The 27,248-nt window shown below is 34.1% G+C and overlaps 1 protein-coding gene across 2 annotated transcripts in view; it reads left to right on the top strand.

The window, feature by feature from the left end:
* Positions 1-27,248, top strand: part of LRP12 (LDL receptor related protein 12) — a 100,023-nt gene that overhangs the window by 38,987 nt on the left and 33,788 nt on the right. The window contains exon 2 of one of the 2 annotated variants that reach the window (NM_013437.5): positions 18,309-18,365. The exons of the other annotated variant lie outside the window; for it this stretch is intronic. Coding sequence (NP_038465.1) covers positions 18,309-18,365 — 57 coding nt within the window. The remainder of the gene's footprint in view (positions 1-18,308; positions 18,366-27,248) is intronic. 2 annotated transcript variants of the gene reach the window in all.

Raw genomic sequence — 27,248 nt, 5'->3', positions numbered from 1 at the left:
TTAAATACTGGTAGCACCACTTGCCACTTTTGTTACCTTGAACAAGTCTCTTCTTTGAGTCTTTTTTTCTGCATGTAAAACTGGAATAGTATCTATTTTAGAGGGGTGCTGTAAGAATTAGTAATGATGTATGAAAAGTACCGACTACAGTGACTGGCACAGTATAAGTGCTCAGTGACTACTGGGAGTCAAATAAAAAAATTGCAGTTTAGGAGAAAGTTCAGATTAGGGGTTGAAATTTGGGATCTATCAATATGGAGTACTTGAACCTTTGAACATGTATGCTGAGAACAGACTTTCTAGAAAGGGAAAGGATAATATGCCAAAAGATCCCTGAATAGTTGGAAAGAGAGGCGATTTACTAAGAATAGTGGTTGAGGAAGTTTGTTGGAAACTTGACGCAAATAATGGAGGGCTGATAGAGTTTTCAAGGGCATTGGAGATAGAGCTGAGTCAATTATTTAAAGGTTATTCAATAGCATTGAGTATCCAGATGAATTGAAACCATGAATTTACAGTGATACTGTTCTTTGTAGTTATATGGTTTTCTCCAACTTTAAGAAAAGTGGAGGCCGGGCTCGGGGGCTCACGCCTGTAATCCCAACACTTTGGGAGGCCGAGGCGGGCGGATCATGAGGTCAGGAGATCGAGACCATCCTGGCTAACACGGTGAAACCCCATCTCTACTAAAAATACAAAAAATTAGCCAGGTGCGGTGGCAGGCGCCTGTAGTCCCAGCTACTTGGGAGGCTGAGGCAGGAGAATGGCATGAACCCGGGAGGCAGAGCTTGCGGTGAGCCGAGATCGTACCACTACACTCCAGCCTGGGCGACAGAGCAAGACTCTGTCTCAAAAAAAAAAAAAAAAAAAAGTGGATTCAGAGTTGATGTTTTTTAGGATAAAGTGTTTTCTAAGTAGGTCATTGGTATCCGTTTCCACATGAGCTTCAGATGTGCTAGGGGTAAAAGCTAGATTGAGGAGGGTTCAGGAGTAAATGATAGGTAAGGAAGCTCTATTAATCAGTATAGATTCTTCTTTCAAAAACTTTGGCTGAGAAAGACCAAAATAGGAAAATGTAAGGAAGGAGGTGCACTGGCAAGAAAGTAGTGGTTTTGCTTTTGTTTTTTAATGGACAGGAATTACTTGAATGTATATTTAAGAGGAAACAAGGGAACCAAAAGAGAGGAAAGAAAGGTCTGAAGTTGAAGCAAAGAGATGGGCTAATGAATGACTCCAGGATCCAGAGTGACCTTAGACCTAGTATGTCCTTGACACTCATTGTAAAGCCTCTGATAAACTTGAGATTCATATTTATTTATTTATTTATTTATTTTTGACGGAGTTTTGCTCTTGTTGTCCAGGCTGGAGTGCAATGGCGCAGTCTCAGCTCTCTACAGCCTCCTGAATTCAAGCGATTCTCTTGCCTCAGCCTCCTGAGTAGCTGGGATTACAGGCATGCACCACCACACCCAGCCAGTTTTGCATTTTTAGTAGAGACGGGGTTTCTCCATGTTGGTCAGGCTGGTCTCGAACTCCCAACCTCAAGTGATCCGCCTGCCTCCCAAAGTACTGGGATTACAGGCGTGAGCCACTGCACCCATATTAATTATATAATAATTATATAATTAATTTAATTATATAATAATTATATAATTAATTTAATTATATAATTCTATATTATATACAAAATATAATATAGAATTATAATTCTATATCATATACAAAATATAACATAGAATTATATATTAGATACAAAATATAATATAGAATTATATATTAGATACAAAATATAATATAGAATTATATATTAGATACAAAATATAATATAATATAGAATTATATATTTTAATTATTAATATATCATATATTTATATAATATATATTATATATTTATATAATATATTTATATAATATATATTATATATTTATATATTTATATAATATATATTATATATTTATATAATATATATTATATAAATATATGATATATTAATATAATATATATCATATATTAATATAATATATATCGTATATTAATATAAATATATCATATATTAATATAAATATATCATATATTTATATATATATTATATATTATATTATATATAATAATTATTAATATATAATATAATTATAATTATATATTATATACAAAATATAATATAACAGAATTATATACAAAATATAATATAACAGAATTATATATTATATACAAAATATAATATAACAGAATTATATATTATATACAAAATATAACAATTATATATTATATACAAAATATAACAATTATATATTATATACAAAATATAACAATGGTATATACAAAATATAACATTGAATTGTATATTATATACAAAATATAACAGAATTGTATATTATATACAAAATGTAATATAACAGAATTGTATATTATATACAAAATATAACATAGAATTATATATTATATACAAAGTATATAGAATTATATATAATATATAATTATATATTATATACAAAATATAATATAGAATTATATATTATATATGATTATATATTATATACAAAATATAACATAATATAGAATTATATATAATATATGATTTTATATTATACAAAATATAATATAGAATTATATTATATTTTAATTATTAATATATATTTATTATATATTAATATATTATATATTAATAATTATTATATATTATATATTAATATATAATAATTATTAATATATAATATGTAATTATATATTATATACAAAATATAACAATTATATATTATATACAAAATATAATATAACAGAATTATATATTGTATACAAAATATAACAGAATTATATATTATATACAAAATATAACAGAATTGTATATTATATACAAAATATAACAGAATTGTATATTATATACAAAATATAACAGAATTGTATATTATATACAAAATATAACAGAATTGTATATTATATACAAAATATAACAGAATTGTATATTATATACAAAATATGATATAACAGAATTGTATATTATGTACAAAATATGATATAACAGAATTGTATATTATATACAAAATATAACAGAATTGTATATTATATACAAAATATGATATAACATAGAATTGTATATTATATACAAAGTATGATATAACATAGAATTGTATATTATATACAAAGTATGATATAACAGAATTATATATTATATACAAACTATGATATAGAATTGTATATTGTATACAAAGTATGATATAATATAGAATTGTATATTATTTATAATTATATATTATATACAGAATATATAATTATATATTATATACAAAATGTATAGAATTATATATGATATATAATTATATATTATATACAAAATATAATATATAATTATATATAATTATATAATATATATAATAATAATTATAAGAAGAATAATTATAAGAAGAATAATTATAAGAATGAAGAGGGCCTGGGATCAGTCTCCGAATGACAGGGGAAGGTAGTGGGCACTGGGCACCTAAAAATGGCATGCCTCTTCTAAAAGAGGTCAGCCACAGATCCAGCTCAGTAAGTATGTATGCAGAAATAGATGTACACAGATACTAATTTTTTTTCAAAAGAAGCCCCGAAATTCAGTATTTTTAGGTGAAAACTCAATTTTTAATGTTGGAGTTGGGTAAATCTGGATTTGAGTCTGTCTCTGCCACTTACTAGCTGTAGAATTGTCTAAGTTAATTGTATGAGAAAACCTGAGTGAGTTTTCGCATCCATAATGTGGGGACGATGGAATCTATTCTTACAACTTTAGAAGGTAGATTTAATAATACATCATGAATTCGTACAATGTGTAATGTTTATTAAATGTTGACTGTGATTAGTGGTTGTCCAGCTTTAAAGGTGTGGGAGCGGGATTGATTACAAGGGAACATCAGAGAGCTTTTTTGGGTTATGGAAATGTTTTGTGTCTTGATTGTAGTGTTGGTTGCTTGACTGGACATATTTGTTCGCACTTATCAAACCCTTGAAGTTGATGGATTTTTTGCATATAAGTTATACCTCAACAAAGCTGATTTTATAAAGATAACTGCCTTTCCCTTTTCTGTGTACTCCAGTTACATCAACTGTTAATAAAATAGAGTTGATACCAAAGGTTTCTAACATTTTTATCGCTAGTCTCTTACTGTCCCCTCTGAGCCCCAGTTACAAGCCCCACAGTGTGAAAGATCTTGCCCACTGGGAAACAAGAAAGAAAAAACTACCTTTATTAGTCCAATATACTCTTCTCCTATACTGTGCAAACCATGTACTGGATTTATCAATTTGGGTACTGTGCTTGATACATAATATGAGTAAAGCAGGTCACTTAGTTACTTTGCAGAAGTGTTATAATATAATCTACAAGCTAATTACCCACTGTTTAGTAATAAGCTATAAAACTTAATAAACCAAGAAGAAAAATTAGAAGCATAAGTAATATACAGGCATACATCAGAGATATGGTTTGGTTCCAGACCTCCACAATAAAGTGAATGTCACAATAAAGTGAGTCACGTGTATTTTTTGGTTTTCCAGTGCATATAAAAGTTATGTTTATACTATACTGTAGTCTGTTAAGTATGCAATGACATATCTAAAAAATATATATACCTTAATTTAAAAATATTTTATTGCTTCGAAATTCTAATGATCATCTGAGCCTTTAACAAGTTACAATTCTTCTCTTGGTTAAAGGTCTTGCCTCAGTGTTGATGGCTGCTGACTGTCAGGGTAGTGGTTGTTGAAGATTGCAGTAGCTGTAGCAATTTCTTAAAATAAGACAGCAATGAAGTTTGTCACATCAGAAACCTTCATAAAAGCTTTCTCTGTAGCATGTGATGCTGTTTGATAGCCTTTTGCCCACAGTAGAATGTCTTTCAAAATAGGGGTCAGTCTTTTCAAACCCTGCTGCTGCTTTATCAACTAAGTTTATGTAATATTCTAAATCTTTTGTTGTCATTCCAACAATGTTGACAGCATCTTCCCTAGGAATAGATTGCATCTGAAGAAACCACTTTCTTTGCTGATCCCTAAAAAACAACTCCTCATCCATTAAAGTTTTCTCTGGAGATTGTAGCAATTCAGTCACATATTCAGGCTCTACTTCTAATTCTAGTTCTGTTGCGATTTCCACCACGTCTGCAGTTTCTTCCTCCACTGAAGCCTTGAAACACCTCAGAGGTCATACATGAGGGTTGGAATCAACTTCATCCAAGCTCCTGTTAGGTTACAGTTCATTGACCTCCAATGGAATCATGAATGTTCTTAATGACATCTAGAATGGTGAATCCTTTTGAGAGGTTTCAATTTACTTTGCCTGGATCCCATCAGAGGACTCGCTGTGGCAGCCATAGCCTTACAAAATGTGTTTCCTAAATAATAGGCTTGAAAGTTGAAATTACTCCTGATTCATGGGCAGCAGAGTGGATGTTGTGTTAGCAGGCATGGAAATATGTGGATTTCCTTATATATCTCCATCAGCGCTATTGGGTGACCAGGTGAATTGCCAGCAAGCAGGAATATTTTGAAAGGAATCTTTTTTTCTGAGCGGATGGTCTCAAGAGTGGGCTTAAAATATTCAGTAAACAATGCTGTAAACAGATGTTTACAATGTGCTGTCACCCAGGCTTTGTTCAAGCAGAGCAGATTTAGCTTAATTCCTAAGGGCCCTAGGATTTTTGGAATGGTAAATAATCATTAGCTTCAACTTAAAGTCACGAGCTGCATTAGCCTGCAACAGGAGAGTCAGCTTGTCCTTTGAAGCTTTGAAGCCAGGCATTGATATCTTCTCTCTCGCTAGGAAAAGTCCTAGATGACATCTTCTTCCAATAGAAGGCTGTTTCATCTACATTGAGAATCTGTTGCCTCGTGTAGCCACCTTCATTAGTGATCTTAGCTAGATCTTCTAGATAACTTGCAGCAGTGTCTCCATCAGTACTTACAGCCTCACCTTGCACTTTTATGTTATGTAGAGTGCTTCTGTCCTTAAACATCATGAACCAACCTCTGCTAGATTCCAACTTTTCTTTTGAAGCCGCCTCACCTCTCTCAGCCTTCGTAGAATTGAAGTGTTCTGTGTGCCTTGCTCTGTGTTAGGCTTTGGCTTAAGGCGATGTTGTGGCTGGTTTGATCTTCTTTCCAGACCATCAAAACTTTCTCTCTATCAACAGTAAGGTTGTTTTGCTTTCTTATCATTTGTGTTTTCACTGGAGTTGCACTTTTAATTTCTTTTAGAAACTTTTTCTTTTGCATACACAACTTGACTAACTCTTTAGCTTTCAGCTAGACCTTCCTTAATTAATAAAGGCCTTCCTTACTAATCTTCATTTTTGTTGTTGTTGTTTTGTTTTGTTTTGAGATGGAGTGTCACTTTGTCGCCCAGGCTTGTGTGCAGTGGCGAGATCTCGGCTCACTGCAACCTCCGCCTCGCAGGTTCAGGTGATTCTACTGCCTCTCCCTCCCAAGTAGCTGAGATTACAGGCATGCGCCACCACGCCTAGCTCATTTTTGTGTTTTCAGTAGAAACAGGGTTTCACCATGTTGTCAAGGCTGGTCTTGAACTCCTGACCTCAGGTGATCCACCCACCTTGGCCTCCCAAAGTGCTGGAATTACAGGTGTGAGCCACTGTGCCCAGCCCATTTATAGCTTTTGATTTAAAGTGAGAAATGTGTGAGTGTTCCTTTTACCTGAACACTTAGAGATCATTATAAGGTTATTAATTGGCCTAATTTCAATATTGTTGTGTCTCAGGGAAGAGGGAGGCCCGAGGAGAGGGAGAGACAGCTTGTTGATGGAACAATCAGAACACACACAGTATTCGTCAGTTAAGTTTACCCTCTTTTATAGGCACAGTTCATGTTATGGCACCTCAAAGCAATTACAGTCGTAACATCAAAGATCTCAGATCACAGATCACCATGACAAATACAATAGTAATGAAAAAGTTTTAAATATTACAAGAATTGCCAAAATGTGACAACAGAGACCTAAAGTGACCTCATTCTCTTGGAAAAATGGTACTGATAGACTTGCTCTATGTAGGGATGCCACAAACCTCCAATTTGGTAAACAAAACAACAACAGAAAAACAACACTGTATCTGCAAAGTATCATAAAGCAAAGTGCAATAAAAAGAGTTAGCCTGTACTTAAGTATATAAAAGTTTAGTTCCTTAAATGAGAATAAAATACCTGAGTAACAGCACTCAGTGTCTTTGTGCATGCTTCTTTGGGTGTATGTGTATGTGTGTGTGTATATATATTTATATATATATATATATATTTGTGTGTGTTCTATAAACACACGCAAATATGTCTTTCACAAACTTTTCCTAACTTCATTCTACCTCTGCCACTCTTGAGACTGCAAGACAAACTCCTTCTCTACCACTTCCTCCTCCTCCTCTGCCTACTCACCATGAAAACAGTAATTCACTTCCACTTAATGAACAGTAAATACATTTTCTATTCCTTGTGATTTTCTTAATGACATGTTCTTTTCTCTAGCTAACTTTATTGTAAGAATACAGTCTGTAATACATGTAACATAGAAAATATGTGTTAATCAACTGTTTGTGTTATTGGTAAGGCCTCCAGTCAGCAATAGGCTCCTAGAAGTTATGTTTTGGGGGAATCAAAAGTTATATGCAGATTTTTGACTGTGCAGAAGGGTTAGCACCCCTAACCCCTGTGTTGTTCAGGGGTCAACTGTATAATTATAAATTGTGACCAAAGCACAAGCATCAAAAGAAGACATAGGTAAATTAGACTGTCCTGAAAATTAAAAACACTTGTGCTTCAAAGGGCACTATCAAGACACTGAAAAGTCAGCTTATAGAATGGGAGAAAATATTTGCAAATTATGTATCTAACCAAGGGATCAATATCTACAATGTCTAAAGAACTCTTAAACAACTCAGCAATAACAGAAAGACAATCCAGCCAATTAAGAAATGGGCAAAGGATTTGAAAGGACGTTTCTCCAAAGAATAGCATAAGTGGCTGTTAAGCACATGAAAAGAGCCACATTATTACTCATTAGGGAAGTGCAGATCAAAACCATAATGATATATCACTTCACACCCATAGGATGGCTAAAATGAAAAAGGTGGACAATAACAAATGTTGTCAAGGATGTGGAGAAATGGACCCTTATGTGTTGCTGATCAGAATGTAAAATGGTATTGCCATTTGGAATACAGCTTGGCAGTTCCTCAGAAAGGAAAACATAGGGATACCATATGACCCACCAGTTCCACTCTCTCTACATACTAAAGATAATTGAAAACATATGTCTATATAAAAACTTGTATACCAATATTCATAGCAATGCTATTCACAAAAAGTAGAAACTACCTAAATGTCTGTCACCTAGTGAATATGTAAACAAAATGTGATATATCCAGATAATGGAATATTATTCAGCCATAAAAACAAATGAAGTACTGAGTCATGGTACAAGGATGAATCATGAAAACATAAGGCTAGGTGAAAGAAGTCAGACACAAAAGACCACATATTGTATGATTCCATTTATTTGAAATGACCAGAATAGGCAAATCCATACAGACAGAAAAACTAGATTACCTGTTGCTAGGGGATGTGGGGAAGAGAAAAAGGGGAATAACTGCTGATAGGTACAAAGTTTTTTGAGGCGGTGATGAAAATGTTCAGGCATTAGATGGTGGTGGTGATGGTTGTACAACTTCCTGAATATACTAAAAACCACCCATTGTGCACTTGAAAAAAGATGAAGTTCGTGATATAAAATATCTTTCAATAAAGCTGTTACTGTAAGAAATATAGGTGTGTAATTTTTTTTCCTGGCGTTCTGAATTCTTTCAAACTCATATTTATTCTTGTGAACCACAGTCATAGGTAGGAACCTTTGAACTTAGTAGTCCTAAAATTCCTTTTCCAGTTTATGTTGTGAGCTCTTTTATCAGTAGCTCAAGCTAATTTTAGAATAGAGAAGGTGATTTTCACCTGTGTGAACACTCACTGAGATGCTCAGCAGTAGGGTGCATAAAGATCTCTGCATGTTCTTTAAGGGATCTGATTCATTCTCTGAATACTAGGAGCATGTGCTTGTTTAGTATTTGTACTTTAAACAATATAGTAGTTCGTTGTCATTATATCCTTATTTCCAAGACATTTCAAACATAAAATCTTACTAACATAATACTACAGGAAGTCTAAACATATAAAAACACTGAACTCCCAAAGGTCCATTAAGAATATGGTTTGGCCGGGCGCGGTGGCTCACGCCTGTAATCCCAGGACTTTGGGAGGCTGAGGCGGGTGGATCATGAGGTCAGGAGATCGAGACCATCCTGGCCAACATGGTGAAACCCCGTCTCTACTAAAAATACAAAAATTAGCTGGGCGTGATGGCACGTGCCTGTAATCCCAGCTATTCGGGAGGCTGAGGCAGGAGAATTGCTTTAACCAGGGAGTCGGAGTTTGCAGTGAGCTGAGATCGTGCCACAGCACTCTAGCCTAGCGACAGAGCGAGACTCTGTCTCAACAACAACAACAAAAGAATGGGGTTTAAAAATTATAATGTATCTTTTCATTAAAAGTAATGTTATAAATAATTATTACTATTATTTTAAGTGGGAAATAGGTTCAAGGCTAGTTCATATAAATACATAATGGATGGCCACAATTAAAAAGTTACAGAAATAATACTTTTAGGATACCAGTAATTAAATCAATCAGGAAAATATCTTATTTCTCAGGGATTTCATAACCTTTTTTACAAAAGTAAACATCTCATTATAGGTATTTGTTAGACATTATGGAGCCTTTCCTTAGAAGAATGTACTGAATTTGTCATACACTTGAAAGGGATTCCCAAAAATCTTCATCTAGACCTACATGGGGAAAGTAGGTATATGAGTCTATTTGGACTACCATAACAATACCACAGACTGGGTGGTTTAAACAACAGAAATTTGTTTTCTCTCAGTTCTGGAGGCTAGAAGTCCAAGATTTAGGTGTTGTCAGGGTTGGTTTCTGGTATGGCCTCTTTTCCTAGCATGCAGTGTCCTCCTTACTGTGTCCTCACATGGCCTCTTCTCTTACTGTGTCCTCATATAGTATGTGTGGACAGAGATCTCTGGTATCTCCTCTTCTTATAAGAGGACACCAGCCTTCTTGGATAGAGCCCCCACCCTTACCTTATTTAGCAGAGGACCAAAATTCACTGAAAATGTTCTCACTCAGTGAGAAAGTGACCACTCTGCACACTTTGATTCTAGATGTTAGGCCTGCCGACATGTAACACAAGCAAAATGAGGCCTCCGCTATCAAGCCTGCCTTTTTGGCAAACTATATTAGGGTTTGGCCTTACAGGTAGTAAAAAAATATGTATTTGCATGGCTTTGTTTTCTGCATATATATCTTCACAAAAAGTGATGATCAGGCTACAGCATATCAGATTTGAGGATTCTAGGACCTGGGTTTTGAGCCCTCCTCCCTCATTTTTTTTTATCTTCTCACATAATTTGACATGAATTATCTATAAGATTCTTTACAGTGCTGTCTTACCATAAAACTAAGAAAGAAATTTAAAACTATAATTATTGGAAATATTATTTTGCATAATTTGTATATGTGATACTAGATTAAGATACTGAGAGGAATAAAACAATGCTTATGATATTAACCCTGATCTTAATTCACCTACATGTTTTAAGATTCATAAGTCATTTGTACAAATCTCAAATCCAGAATATTTTGTGTGTTGTATAATATGCTATCAGAGGGGTTTTTTTTTGTTTAAAAAATTTCCTATGGATAATTTCAAATATTTGTGAAAATAGATAGGACAGGATAATGACCCCCTATGTACCCAAAACCTAGGCCCTAACAGCAGTTATTAACCCAGAGCCAATCTGCCTCCTTGCTAGCCTGTTAAATTCTTCTGCATATTTTGAAGAAATACCAGACATCATTTCATCCACTAATATTTTAGAGTGCATCTCTAAAAGAACAAATATGCTTTCTTTTTAAATCAATATAAGTGCCATGCCATTATCTTAGGAATGATTGTTAATTTTTCCTCAGTTTTATAAAACCAAACTGGTTTGTGTTTACAGTCGTCTCATTAATGTCCTAAGTGTTTGTTTATGAATCAGAATCTAAATGAGGTCCACAGTTTGTTATTATTCAGTACTTCCTTTAAGCCTTTTTCAATCTGTGGACTTTCTTCACAACTTTAAAAATATATATATTTGTTGAAACAATTTAGAGTTTTTCATTCTGGAGTTTGTTGAGTATTCTTCTGTAATATGATTTAAAATGGTCCTCTGTCGTTTGCTTTTTCAGTAAACTGGTAAATGGATTTAGAGCTATAAAGCCTAATACAGTAGCCGTCAGCCACATGAGCTATTTTAAATTTAAGGTTAAATTAATTAAAATTAAATAAAATAAAAAACGTAGTTGCTAAAGTACACTAGGCTCATTTTAAATGATTAATAGCTACATGTGGCTAATGGCTACCACATTGGGCAGTGCCTTGATAGAACAGTTCCATCGTGTGGGAAGTTCTGTTAGTCAGTGCTGCTTTAGATAGAGTCTTGATCAAATTCAGGTTTCTCTTTCTTTGTGTTCTTCCATTAGGAGGCCCATGATGTGTGATGTCTCATTGTCCTTTTTTTCTGATGTTAGCAGTTACTGATAGTCAATGGCTGAATCCATTCATTCATTCAAGAATGCAAAATGTTGACCATAGGAGTTTAAAAGAATTACTTCTGCTTGAGGTGATCTCCAGAAGCTTTATGGCTGAGGTAACATTTAATTGAGCCTTGAAATTTCTCTAAAAATTTGATAAGTGAAGATAGAGGGAGAAGAGGATTTTTGTGGTTTTGGGTTGTGGTGGTTGTGTTTGTTTTTGTTTTTTAAACAGGGCAGAAGACTAATGTGTTTGATGCACAAGGAGTATGGGAAATTAAAATTGAAAAGTATATTTGGAGCCTATACTATGTAGATCCTGAATGCAAGGACAAGGCATTGGATTTTATTTGAAAGGGAAAATGCGATAGTAGCTATTTGTTGATTGCCTACCGTCCAGTTATCCTTTTTCTCTTTTTAACAATGCCCTTAAATGCTTCAGAAAATGTAATTCAACACCTCACTCCTAGGCTTACGCCTATCATCGTATTCCATTTTGTTTTCCTTGACAAGGTTGGGCATGTGACCTAAGCTGTTCTAAACAGAATGAATATCAAGGCTTTTGGTTGCAAGTGATGAGATACAAATACTGTCTCTTCCCCTGGATGTGGTACTTGGAAGTGCTGTAGTTATTTTGTCAGGATGATGAGGAAGCCAGCACACAGCCTGACAAAATAACACACAGAGAGATCAGGCAACCACTGATCTCTCTGTCACTATAGATTATTGTTTCCTGTTCTAGAACTTTATAGAACAGAATAGAATCGTACAGAATGAATACTTTTGTGTTACTTCTTTTACTCTATGTTTTTGGAATTCTTTTTTGTCTTTTTTATATGATTTCATTTCCCTTACCTAGTTGTGGAATTGTTAGGTCATATATCTATATGTTCATCTTGAAAGAACTGTTTTCCAAAGTGGTTGTACTATTTTATATTCCCACTGGCAATTTTTGAGAGTTCTAGTTGAAGCTTGTTTTAAAGCTTTGCTAGGATAATTACAGAGTAGCTTTTACTTGGCAGTTAGCTCTACTCCTAAGGTGTGGGTGGACTTCCTGGTCTGGTAATACCCATGTGTTTATCAAGGTCTCTCCACTTTGGAGCTCTCTCTTGCTGGTCAGAACTTTAGCGTCTTCCAGATTTGTGAGATGGAAGTGTTTATTTAAGCTTTCAGTGGTAGTTCTTTGCCTATTCTTATATGGTGTCACCTTACACATGTGCAGCTTGACATTCAGCCTAAGACTAGGACCGTGATGCAAATTTTGGAGGTTTTTGTTTTTTGTGTTGTTGTCTTAAAAAACTGATACTGATACTCTCAATGTTTCTGTTGCCTGAGCCCCTCTAAACTCTCATCTCTGTCTCCTCAGCTTAGCAAGATCTCCCTGCTTTGCTTGGGTTCTCCCTCAATATGCCAGAGTCCAGGAAGTCTCCAGGCAGAAAGGGCAGTAATAGGACTCACCTTAATTTGTTTCCCTTTTCTCAGGGATCACAGTCTTACATTGCCTGTTGCCCAGTGTCTGATTTTTTTTTTTTTACATATTTTTCTGTTTTCTTAATTGTTCACAGCAGAATTGCTGATCTGTTGCTAATTCCTCTTTTATAACCAGCAGCAGTTCCATGAGCTTTTTCTTTTAATCTTTTTTCATTGCAACTGAAAATGGGGTCTTCTGCCATGTCTTCCAACTGGCTATTGTTTATATTTACAAATGCTTTGGATTTCTGTATGCTTATTTTATATCCTACTACCTTACTAAATTTTCCTGTTCTTTATAGTTATTTTTCTATTGACTGTCTTGGGTTTTCCAAGTAGATATAATCTGCACATGGACACAGTTTTACTTTTTTTTTAAAACAATTCTTGTCTAATCGCACTGTCTAATATTAGTAACTATAGTGGCCACTCCTGTCCTCATCCCTATTTTTAGTAGAAAAGCCTCTAGGCTTTCCCCTTGAATAAGAAGCTTGCTAATTATATTTTGTTTGCTTCTGTTTTATATATTTTCAATTATTTTGTCAACAGACTACCAACTCTTCAGGAGCAGGGATTCTGCATGCCTCTTACTTACATGGACTAAGTATTCCCTGCTATGTGTTATGTTTTGTACTAGTCGCTGGGGTTGCAAAACAAAACCCTGCTGTGTCCCATCAGAATACTCCCCCCACCCCAAAATTAAGATCTAGTAAGGAATATAGGCATTACACAGATAAAACAAATGTGATAAATTTTCAAAAAGTGACAGTGTCAGATGCTAAAGGAGTCTATAACAGAATGACCTAACCTAGTATGGGAGAATCAAGAGATACCTCCCTAAAGAAATAATGTTTAATGAAAATCCAAAGGCAAGAGAGACAGTTGATACTTTTCTAAAGGAGATCCATTATTACTGGAAAGAAGAGATAGAATGGGAAAGTGGGTCACAAGAGGTAAAGATTTAGAAGTAGTTAGGAAGAATCGGACTGTGGAGAGCTTGGCAAGCCCTATTAGGATTATGAACTTTTCCCTTAAGTACAATAAAATAGGAACCATCTTTGCTTTTTTGGTTTATATGTTTATATATGTGTTTATATTTGATAACTATTCTCACTGAGCAGTAGAAAAGAAATTGTAGGAAGCTGAGCATTTTCATTTCTTGTAGCTGACAGTCATTTAACTTTTAAACCAATGTTTTTCTTTCAAATTGGAATGCTGTGGCAGGTAGATTTTAATTCTGAGAGCTAAGCACTATTTCTTTTACAAGCAAGAAATATATTCATGTCTGAATCCTTTTTTAAAAAAAGTAAGGAACACAAACTTTTTAATGTGGGAATTAGTATTGAACCTGAAATCTTTTTAAGAGGTGAGGAATACAGACTTTTTAATGACTGTGTATTTGAATGTTCAATCCACGCAGTTACTAGCTCTTTGGAAAAAAAAATTACCAAACTACTAGAAGCTTTGGTTTTCTCATTTGTAAAATGAACTGTTGTTTTAAGGATTAGCTGAGTGAACGCTTGTAAGGCACTTAGGATTTGGCTGGTACATACCTATCAAATCTTAGGTGTATTTATTAGCTATTCTTAAGAACTTTAGTTCTTAAATAAAAAGGACAGAAATATATAAAAGAAGACAAAGTTAATAAAGCAACAGGGATGCACAGACTATAAATTTAGACATTCTCTTATGATAACATCCCCATTATATAAGTGAGCAAACTGAATCTTAGGAGTCATTTGAAGTTCATGACTATATAAATAGTAGAGCTGGGATTTTATTACAGGAGTCTGACTCTAGAACTTAAACTTCATATCACTGTTGTATAGTTTCTTTCCTAAAGCAGCATCTATTTTAGTTGATTCTCTCTCATATTGTAGTCAAAACTACAGAAAGCAATAAATGGGGTTGGTTGATTACTTCTTGGTGTTTAGTGAGACCAAAAAATTGTTATAACAAACTATTTTCTGATTTAGGTGATAATCAAACTTTTTCGTACGTGAAAAATCTTTTTTAGGGTTTATCTACTTAACTGGTTCATTACATAATTAGCTGCTAATGTGTAGTTAAAGAAGTAATGTTTTATCAGACTTTTTTTTTTTTTTAGTATTTGCTACCTCTAAAGGGTGACGTCTGAAAAAATATCTGACATGGCTGCATTTGAACACTAGTCATAGTAAGATTGGTGGTGGGTGTTCATATTCATATATATGAAATTTTCTTGGGGTTTGGGAGGGGGCATTAAGGAGAATGTAATTTGCTTTGTGTTAACAAAGCGATTTTCTTTGGGCTATCTACTGGTAACCTAGAAATAATTGAAAGTGACATCTTCATAAACATATTTTTTAGAATGGTAGTACACATAAATTAAGTAGCCCACTTCTTCAAGTGATGTTCAGAAGCAGAAACATCACTTTGATGTTAACAGAAATTATCATTGATTTCTTTTAACTTCTAAATAGTATTGTTTTTAAGCTAGAGTAAATGTGTGGGAAATTAATTAGCAGTATCATGTTTTCTGTTTTAAAGTGTTAACCAGTTTTTAAAATCATTAATACTTTAATGAAATTTTAATATGTTATAATTAGCATGATATTTACCAGATTTCTGTTTATCCAGAATGATGGGAATGAACTATATATTCTGTTCACCTGTTTCTCCTTTTTTGTAATATAAATAAAATTTTTAAAGAAATCTGTGCCTGTTTGTAACAAATTTGGCCAATGCTAAAGTATACAATTCAAATCTTCCTCTCTAATTCCAGTTCCAGAGGTTTTCCTCCACATCAGTGTTATACCCTTAGGCTCATCAGTGTTTATATAAATGCATAGACATACATATGACATGTTTAACATCTGCATATTATAAACTATACATACATAATTTTAAAGTTAAAATTAAATCATACTTTACTGCTCATCTGAAACATTTTTAATTTAATATGTGTATCTATCCAAGTTAGTACATATATAATTATTTGTTTATTGAATATTTTATTATAAGGCTGTATCAGTTTATTCCTGTGCATGTTGATAATAGTTTTAGATTTTTTTTTTTTTTTTGCTATTATAAAGAATTTCACTAAGCCCTATAAGGTAGGTATTATCTCCATTTTAAAACATGAAATTGAGGCACAGAGAGATTGGGTAACTTGCCCTAAATTGCACAGCAAGAAGTAATGGAGCTGGTTTTAGAATCCTGGCAATATAGCTCAGAATCCACAATCTTCAATATTACATTATGCTGGTTTTTTGCCTTCTGTTTTTGCTCTGTTTACCAAACTGGAAAAAAGATTTCATGTTTAAAATATATCTAAACTGGGTGTGATAGTACACTCCTGTAGTCCCAGCTGCTCAGGAAGCTAAGGTAGGAGGATTGCTTGAGCCCAAGAGTTCTAGTCCAGCCTGGGCAACATAGTCAGACCCTGTCTCTTTTTTAAAAAAGTAAAATCTGATATTAAAACTCTCCTGGGCATAATATGCTATCTTACAGATACTGGAAACATTAGTATCACAAATTATGTAACTGTGATTTGTAGCAATGTATAATATAGAAGTAGAAGATTTAAGCCCAAACCTTGCCAGTGCTTCTTAAACTTTAATGTGCATATAGATCACTAAGTGTGCATATAAATTCAGATTCCATAATCTGGAATGAGCCTGAGTCTCTGCATTTCTAGCACACTCCCAAGGTGGCCAGTACTGCTAGTCTACTCGTGAGTAGCAAGGATTTAGGCAGTTTATACTGACCTTTGGCAAACCTTCTTAGGTGTTTTATTGAATCAGTTTCATGTTTTGTTTCTGCTGCCTGTTTTTATAATTTTTGTGTGGTAAAGAAATGGGTACAGTCTTTCTGGTCATTTCAATTCTGTATGTGTGACATTTAACAATAAATGAGAAAAAGAAATTGTGCCTTTTTTGGCATCAGTGCAGAGTACTTAAAATGAATATAATCATTTATTTGTATACTTAATATGGCCTTCCCACCTATCTCATCATTTCCACTGTTTCATTCTTAATTGAGGGAAATATAATGTATGTTTTCATTTTGAAGGGTATAACTGTAGTTGAACCAAAAATATTGTTTTATCACTGTTATTTTTTCTTTAGTAACAATAATATACTTTACACAGTTACAAAAATCAACACCTGTTCAATGCTATGTGCCAGGCACTATATCAAGTGCTTAATGGGCATGATTTCATTTTAATCATCAGGACATCCCTCATTCATCTTTCAGCTATTTGTGCGCCTCCTCTGTATCAGGAACTGTGCCTACAGTGGGGAGCCAAATAAACACAAATTCTGTTCTCCTACAGCTTAGTGCATTGGGGTGGGGGGTGCAATACAATATTCAAGCAATTATAGAAGTGTGATACTTGTAAACAAAAAGTTGTTAATTACAATATTTGCTATTTTCTCCACTCTCAACCATGAAAGAAAATTCTGCTTTTGCCTTCTAAGCTTTTTCTGACTAGCTTCCTTCCCCACCTGACTCCGAGGAGAATTCTTTGTCTGTTCGGTTTCTGAGCTGTTGTGATGCCAGATCCAACTAATGGGTAAAGAGAGAAACCTTTAGAACTAATGATGTATAAAATACAAAATTTTAAGACAAATATCTGAAGAGACATTGCTTACATTAATTTGAGGGAGTAAATATTCGCAATACTTAAGATTGTTAGAATTGTTGGTGAGAAAAATTTGAAAGATTTTTTTGAAGATTTAGAAGACAATGCAAGACTTTTTTTTTTTTTTTTTAAGTACCAACATATGTGGCCCTGACAGATATTACACCGACTTGTGGCTGATTTGGACACGCTTTTAGGGGAATGCTATTTTTAACAAGCTGTGTTCTCTTTTTTCTTGTAGCAGTACTGACTTCCCTTTTGATTATTAATTGATAGAAAATTCTTTCTGGTGTTGATCAGATCTATCTATTTGACCTTTATATATAACACTACCTTGTTGAGATTTCCAAAATGTTTGTTTTCCCCATTACTATTATGATTTTGAGCTTCCTAGTATTGTCTTGAAGATTATTATAAGAAACTTTAGCTTCTCTGTATTAAAAGGAACTCTATGTAGTTGTTTCTCTTTTAAAGGGAGGATCTGAAAAAATTTTGTAATTTTATCTTGGATATTAGTTTATTCATTATGTTTAATTTTAGGAAATGGTGCTCTTGCAGAACATTCTGAAAATGTGCATATTTCAGGAGTGTCAACTGGTAAGTCATTTTTTGTAATGTTTAAATTTCATGCATGACTTATATGGTAAATATTGAAAGCCACCTGGTATCTTACGAAGTGATATTTGGCTATAAAAATTATTACTGCTTTTTGCAGCATGTAATAAGGAATGAAGTAACTGGAACATGGAGAAATTCTCATAAGATAAAACTGATACTTGCATGCCCATGGATTGATTATACTTTTCCAAACGGACTGCATAATTATTTTTTCATACAAACATTGAACCTAGAGAAAAGTTAGCTCAAGTTGAATTAGTATTTTCTTTCCATACAAAGTTATGTGACATGAAATTTACTGAAATGTGATTTTGAATGCTATCCCTAGGATTAGAGCCTTAGAAATTAAGCTTTTTGCTTGATTTTTATAGTACTACTCTACATATAACTATTGTATTTGAGCGCACAGTTTATTTGCTGTTAAAAGCAACACAGTATACTTGTGTCCATGAAATTCAGAAATTCATCATTGTGGTTAATGTATTTTTTATACTCATCTAGGCTTTTATAACTTGTAATTACTTTATAACTTTATAATTACTTAAAGACTTATAACTACTAAAATTTTTATTCTTAGGCCACTTCCACAGCTCCGTTACCATTTTTGCTGTCAACCACAGTTACTAGGAGAACTAAAATATTTATTTTTGCATATATTGAAATAGGTTTTCTTACTGTTCATTTATTATTTCCCTATATTGATAAGTTTTGTGTGGTTAAAACTGTACTTAGTGTATTTATCAATCCATTGATTAACTTCTTTGTGTCATCTTGTAATTTGTTTGGTTCTTTTTTCCTCACATGAAGCAAATCCTGTTCTTTTGTTTTATGTCTGACTTTGTATTCAGAAAGTTAATAGACTTAACAAATACTCTAAGGGTTAGTGTGCCCTAGTCAAACACATCAAGCCCAACAAGCCTAGTTTCCTGAAAACGCAAAGCAAGTGCTTCAGTGCCTGCATCAATTTTTTTTCATAGTTTGTTTCACTTTTTTAAAAATACATTCTCAAATGATATATAATTGTATTTATCAAATAACAGTAAGGTTATTTTAAAGATGGCCTTCTCCCTTTTTCTTTGCATTTTGAATAGTTAATGAGAATTATAATTACTTTTCCAAGTTGTAACTATAAAGTATGTTTGTTTACAAACATTTTAATTTATACAACCAAATGGTTACTGTTTAATTTAGTAGTTTTCAAAAGTTTTGGTCTCAGGACCCATTATAAACTTTTAAAAACTACTGAGGCCTGTTTTAGTCTACGTGTGCTGCTGCAACAAAATACTACTGTGGATGGCTTAAATAACAGACATCAGTTTTTCTCACAGTTCTGAAAGTCCAACATCAAAGTGCTGGCAGGGTTGGTCCCTGGTGAGACCTCTTTTCCTGGCCTGTAGATGGCCACCTTCTCATTGTGTCCTCACATGGCCTTTTTTCTATGAATGTTCAGAGAAAGCAAGAGGTCTCTTGTGCCTCTTCTTCTAATAAGAACATGAGTCCTATGGTATTAGGGTCCCATCCTTATGACCTCATTTAACCTCAGTTACCTCCTTAAAGGCTGTGTCTCCAAATACAGTCACATTGGGAGTTAGGGCTTCCACATATGGGCTTGAGGGGGGACACAATTCAGTCTGTAACAAGGACTTAAAAGAGTTTTTGTTTATATGGGCTACAGCTACCAATATTTACTATGTTAGAAATTAAAACTGAGAATTTGTTTTAAAACTCATTAGTTCAATTAAAAATAACAGTAACCTATTGCATGTTTACATCAATATGTAGTATGGTTTTATGAAAAATATATATTTCAAAACAAAAAACAATAAGAACAGCATTGTTTTATAATTTTATAAAGTAATGATTGACTTAAAAGAAAATAGCTAGATTCTCATATCTGTTTCCGCATTCAGTCTTTTGCAACATCATGTTTTGTTTGACATACTAGGAGACAGGCCAGCCTCACAGTGACGTATAATTGGAAAAGAAAGGAATATTTTAATAGCCTTTTTCAGATAATGGTGAATATTCTATGATACTACACCAAAACTCAACACGAGGTAGTTTCTTTAAGGTTAGTTGCAATGTGGAATCTGAAGCCATATCATTGAGCGTTTTGTGCTCTGTTACATTAAAATCTAATTGGGTCTTTCTTACCCTTTGAATCAATTTTCTTACCATGTATGTTTTTATAATGTGCATTGATCACTTGCAAATGCAGATTTGCTGAGTTATGCAGATTATTACAGAGTATGAGAACTTATGAAAATTTGGAAATTTAGATAGATATAGTACTACATTCTGAATTTTAGATTATACTTATTTTTAGCTGTTTACTTGTGATTAGACCACTAGGCTCTTCTTGAGCATTGATAATACCCTTAAATAAATTTCTGTTTGAAGAAAGAAATCAGCAGTAAAGATATTTTACATTTTTTAATCTTTTTTTTCTTCTGAATTTCAGATACACATTTAGAAATATGTATTAGTTTTCTAGGGCTACCATAACAAGACGTCCCGTTCTAGGTAACTTAAACAACATAAATTTATTTTCTCACTGTTTTGCAGGCTAGAATTCTGAGATCCAGGTGTCAGCAGGGTTGGTTTCTTCTGAGTTCTTTTTCTTTGGCTTATAAATGGGTGTCTTCTTACTGTCTTCACATAGTCTCCCCTCTGTGTGTGCTGTCCTGATCTCCTCTTCTTATAAGGACACCAGTCATTGGATTAGGGCCACACATATGACCTCATTTTAACTTTAACTCTTTAACTCTGTAAAGACTCTCTCTCCAAATCCAGTTACGTTCTGATGTACTAGGGTTAGACTCTAAAATATGAGTTTTGGAGGCAACACATTTCAGGCCATAACAAAATGTGTGTTTTAATTAAATATATTTATACGTTAATAAAATACTCCATTTCAGAAGTGAGTAAAACCTTATTCATGGCTTATTTTTTCTAAAGTCTCATCTTACAAAATCTTTCTAACAGAATGAGAAGAATAATACATGAAATCTATTCCAATTATATTATTAAAAATAAATGGATGCTGTTTCCAGAGGTATGTCTGGGTACACAGAGTCATTGCTGTTTTTTGTTGTTGTTTTTTTTTTGAGATGGAGTCTCACTCTCTCTGTTGGCCAGGCTGGAGTACAGTGTTGTGATCTCAGTTCACTACGACCGCTGCCTCCCGGGTTCAAGCGATTCTCCTGCCCCAGTCTCCCAAGTAGCTGGGACTACAGGTGTGCGCCACCACGCCCAGCTAATTTTTGTATTTTTAATAGAGACGTGGTTTCACTATGTTGGCCAGGCTGGTCTCAAACTCCTGACTTCAAGTGATCCGCCCACCTTGGTCTCCCTAAGTGCTGGCATTACAGGCATGAGCCACCGTGCCCGGCCTCATTGCATTTTTTCTGTGGCCAGTACGGAGCTATAGATGTAATGTTTAATAGAGTATAAGCTTTCTGAAATCCTTGCATCCCCAGTAGAAAGTAGGGCCCCTTCAGTGCTGGTCTAAATAGAGAGGTAGCCTTTGGAAGAATCTCAAAATGCAGGACTTGCTTTCTGTTGAGATCAGCAAGCCACAGAAATGGTGAGATGCTTCAGTATTCTGTGCTGCCATCTATTTCTGCTCTTCCCCTGCTCTTTTCACCTCTGCTACTCCATTTGCCGGTGCTCAGTGCCCTGCTGGATTGTCGTTTGCACTTTGGAAAGTATATTGATGATTTTAGAAAGAATTTTAATTGTCTGCACCTAGTGTTATCAGGTAATTTATTTTCCAAATCAGGACACTTTGAAAGCGAAATAATATATTATTTTTAATTATGCTGCACCAGTGACAAAACCAGGACTGTTCTGGACAAATCAGGCTGTATAGTCACCCTGTTGGCAATGAATTCAATTCATTTAACATGTATCAAGCACCTGATAGGACCTTGTGCCAAGGAGGGTGGAAGTAAGTGGTGAGTAAAATATTATCTGAAGGAACTTATCACTTAATAGCAGAAGTAAATGTGCAAACTGTACCTATAATATGGTCTTTTTTTTTCTTTGTTTTTATTATTATACTTTGTTTTAGGGTACATGTGCACAATGTGCAGGTTAGTTACATATGTATACAAGTGCCATGCTGGTGTGCTGCACCCATTAACTCGTCATTTAGCATTAGATATATCTCCTAATGCTATCCCTCCTCGCTCCCCTTACCCCACAACAGTCCCCAGAGTGTGATGTTCCCCTTCCTGTGTCCATGTGTTCTCATTGTTCAATTCCCATCTATGAGTGAGAACATGCGGTGTTTGGTTTTTTGTCCTTGCGATAGTTTACTGAGAATGATGATTTCCAATTTCATCCATGTCCCTACAAAGGACATGAACTCATCATTTTTTATGGCTGCATAGTATTCCATGGTGTATATGTGCCACATTTTCTTAATCCAGTCTATCATTGTTGGACATTTGGGTTGGTTCCAAGTCTTTGCTATTGTGAATAGTGCCGCAGTAAACATAGGTGTGCATGTGTCTTTATAGCAGCATGATTTATAGTCCTTTGAGTATATACCCAGTAATGGGATGGCTGGGTCAAATGGTATTTCTAGTTCTAGCTCCCTGAGGAATCGCCACACTGACTTCCACCATGGTTGAACTAGTTTACAGTCCCACCAACAGTGTAAAAGTGTTCCTATTTCTCCACATCCTCTCCAGCACCTGTTGTTTCCTGACTTTTTAATGATTGCCATTCTAACTGGTGTGAGATGGTATCTCATTGTGGTTTTGATTTGCATTTCTCTGATGGCCAGTGACGGTGAGCATTTTTTCATGTGTCTTTTGGCTGCATAAATGTCTTCTTTTGAGAAGTGTCTGTTCATATCCTTTGCCCACTTTTTGATGGGGTTTTGTTTTTTTCTTGTAAATTTGTTTGAGTTCATTGTAGATTCTGGATATTAGCCCTTTTGTCAGATGAGTAGGTTGCGAAAATTTTCTCCCATTTTGTAGGTTGCCTGTTCACTCTGATGGTAGTTTCTTTTGCTGTGCAGAAGCTCTTTAGTTTAATTAGATCCCATTTGTCAATTTTGGCTTTTGTTGCCATTGCTTTTGGTGTTTTAGACATGAAGTCCTTGCCCATGCCTATGTCCTGAATGGTAATGCCTAGGTTTTCTTCTAGGGTTTTTCTGGTTTTAGGTCTAACGTTTAAGTCTTTAATCCATCTTGAATTGATTTTTGTATAAGGTGTAAGGAAGGGATCCAGTTTCAGCTTTCTACATATGGCTAGCCAGTTTTCCCAGCACCATTTATTAAATAGGGAATCCTTTCCCCATTGCTTGTTTTTCTCAGGTTTGTCAAAGATCAGATAGTTGTAGATATGCAGCATTATTTCTGAGGGCTCTGTTCTGTTCCATTGATCTATATCTCTGTTTTGGTACCAGTACCATGCTATTTTGGTTACTGTAGCCTTGTAGTATAGTTTGAAGTCAGGTAGCGTGATGCCTCCAGCTTTGTTCTTTTGGCTTAGGATTGACTTGGCGATGCGGGCTCTTTTTTGGTTCCATATGAACTTTAAAATAGTTTTTTCCAATTCTGTGAAGGAAGTCATTGGTAGCTTGATGGGGATGGCATTGAATCTATAAATTACCTTGGGCAGTATGGCCATTTTCATGATATTGATTCTTCCTACCCATGAGCATGGAATGTTCTTCCATTTGTTTGTATCCTCTTTTATTTCATTGAGCAGTGGTTTGTAGTTCTCCTTGAAGAGGTCCTTCACGTCCCTTGTAAGTTGGATTCCTAAGTATTTTATTCTCTTTGAAGCAATTGTGAATGGGAGTTCGCTCATGATTTGGCTCTCTGTTTGTCTGTTATTGGTGTATAAGAATGCTTGTGATTTTTGTACAATTGATTTTGTATCGTGAGACTGCTGAAGTTGCTTATCAGCTTAAGGAGATTTTGGGCTGAGACAGTGGGGTTTTCTAGATACACAATCATGTCGTCTGCAAACAGGGACAATTTGACTTCCTCTTTTCCTAATTGAATACCCTTTTTTTCCTTCTCCTGCCTAATTGCCCTGGCCAGAATTTCCAACACTATGTTGAATAGGAGTGGTGAGAGAGGGCATCCCTGTCTTGTGCCAGTTTTCAAAGGGAATGCTTCCAGTTTTTGCCCATTCAGTATGATATTGGCTGTGGGTTTGTCATAGCTCTTATATAATATGGTCTTAATGTACTAAGGCACATTATGGCAAATAATGAACATTAAGTTAGAATATGAATTTGTAAAAAGCCTAGTTAAAATATCTGGTGAGTAGTAAATGAATTAATATTAACTTTTCTTATTAGGCATAGTATTAAGGGCTTCATTTTGTTTACTCATGAATTTTTGGGGGAATTACTAATTTCTAATTAATAATATATTTTTGGTTCTTGTACTTGGAATAATTTGTTCTGTTTTTAATATTCTGTTTATTTCCATCTTCTTCCTCCTCAAATCCTTGCCAGGAAAGATAAATCTTTGCCTTTTTGCTCGTTCTGATGCTACAGGGTTGGCATAAGAAATTGTAGTTAAATTATCAAAAAGTATGTATCTAGTTGTTATATAATGGGAAATAATATTGGATAAAATCTTAATTTTTGTACTTATTTTAATTTAGAACTTTTCTTGGTTCAGAATTTTAAATCTCTCTTCATATATAAGCTAGAGAAAGGAGAAAAGACAAATGGTATTTTTATAAATTTAATAATATATGAAAATCATTATGAATTATACCACAGAAACTGCCAAGTAATTTAATTGCATACATGAGAGAGTAGGAAGGCTCTTTTAATCGCTTTTTAAAAAAGTGTCTAAATTATATGTTTCTTTTTGAAATGTTTAAAATTACCAAATTACTGCTCATCTGCTACATAGAATGAAATATATCTTACGTCAAGTTGATTTACCACAAGGCCCTTGTACACATTAAACAAATATATTTGATTTTTTAAAATATATCTACTTTAAACTGAATTACTCTGTAATCTGTGATATTGACTTTAATCAGGATATTCTAGAAATAATTTATGCTGTCTTTATTCTTGATTACTTCTAAATCAAGTTTTTTGTTTTCACAAATTCTATTACACAAGTTTCATTAAACATTTAGAAAAAAGCAAAAAGATTAAGAAAATCACCCATTAACCCTACCTTCCTACAATAATTAATAGTAGTATATTAAATTTTTTATTTGTCCTTTTGTGTACATACCTTAAAAATAATTGTATATGCATTTGAATTATCCCTAATTTTATCTCCTGCTCTTTCTGTTTAACACTATGTACATTTTTCCCTTAGCCTTCATATTCATTATTTTAATGCCTGCATAAAATTTCCATCATGTGACTTCATTACAATGGGTTGTTTCCAATGGATTTTGCCTAATTTGGATCATGCTCAAGAGACATATTCATATACAGTTGACCCTTGAACAACATGGTGGTTAGGGGCACCAATTCCCTGCATAGTGGAAGAAAAGCCATATATAATTGTTGATTCTCCAAAAGTTTAAGTACTCAATAGCATGCTGTTGACTGGAAATCTTAACAACAACATAAACATTCAATTAAATATATGTACGTTATATGTATTAAATACTGTATTCTTTTTTTTTTTTTTTTTTTTTGAGACAGGGTCTGACTTTGTCACCCAGGCTGGAGTGCAGCGGCATGATCTCAGCCCACTGCAACCTCCACCTCCTGGGCTCAAGCCATGCTCCCACCTCAGCCTCCCGAGTAGCTGGGACTACAGGTGCGCACCACATGCCCAGCCAATTTTTGTTTTTGTAGAGACGGGGTTTTGCCATGTTGCCCAGGCTGGTCTTGAACTTGTGAGTGCAAGTGATCTGCCCACCTTGGCCTCCCAAAGTGCTGGTATTACAGGTGTGAGCCACCGTGCCCAGGCTTAAATGCTGTATTCTTAAAGTTAGCTAGAGAAAAGAAAATGTTATTAAGAAAATCATAAGAGAAAATTCATTTACAGTATGCTACTGTATTTATTGATACTGTAAGTTTACATTATCTATTTACAGATGAGTCATCTGTTTGATAAGATGGGCAGCTGCAGTTGCAGACCTCAGTCTACAGTACATATCAAGCAATTCGGCTTTTTCTTGTAATGTCATGACTTTCCTTTGCTTCTTGGGAGCACTTGCAACATCACTAGTGGCACTTTGTATGGATCCAGTGGTGTTATTTGGGGTTTATGGTATTGCACTAAACACAATGAAAAATACACGAGAACCACCAGAGATCACATTGTACTGTGACACACAATTTACTGGAGATAACAACTGCTCACATGGAGATGATTAGCATCACACAGCGATTTAAGCAGATACTTGCAAATTGAGCTCACCAAAATAGCAATGGGAGGTGGCTACAGAATTATTAGTTGTATAGTATGTCATATAATTAATTTTATTCAGTTATGATTTAGTATTCATCTTTATACTTCTCTTGAATGTAAATGGTACTGTGTGTGGTCTGCAAGTGTTTGTGTAGGTTTTGATAAATTCTAACTCTTTATAATAGGTTAGTGTATTTTTTATGGTAGTAAATGATAGACTAGTATTTTACATATATATGCATTCATGATATACCTAATTTTTTTTCAAAATTTCCAGTCTGTGTAATTTGTCTGCAAGGTTTTTCAAATTGTCACAAATCTCCAAAAAATTTTCCAATGTATTTGTTGGAAAAAATCCATGTATAAGTGGACTTACACAATTCAAACCCATGTTGTTCAAAGGTCAACTGTATATCTAGCCTTTTTTATTTCTAAGAATATTTCCTTAGCATACATTTCTGAAAGTGAAATTACTGTATCACAGGTCATAAATAAT

The sequence above is a fragment of the Homo sapiens genome, chromosome 8 (assembly GCF_000001405.40).
Source record: "Homo sapiens chromosome 8, GRCh38.p14 Primary Assembly".
NCBI classification, from domain to species: Eukaryota; Metazoa; Chordata; class Mammalia; order Primates; family Hominidae; genus Homo; species Homo sapiens.
Note: the sequence above shows the minus strand (reverse complement) of the source record. Positions and strands in the feature narration are given on the sequence as shown.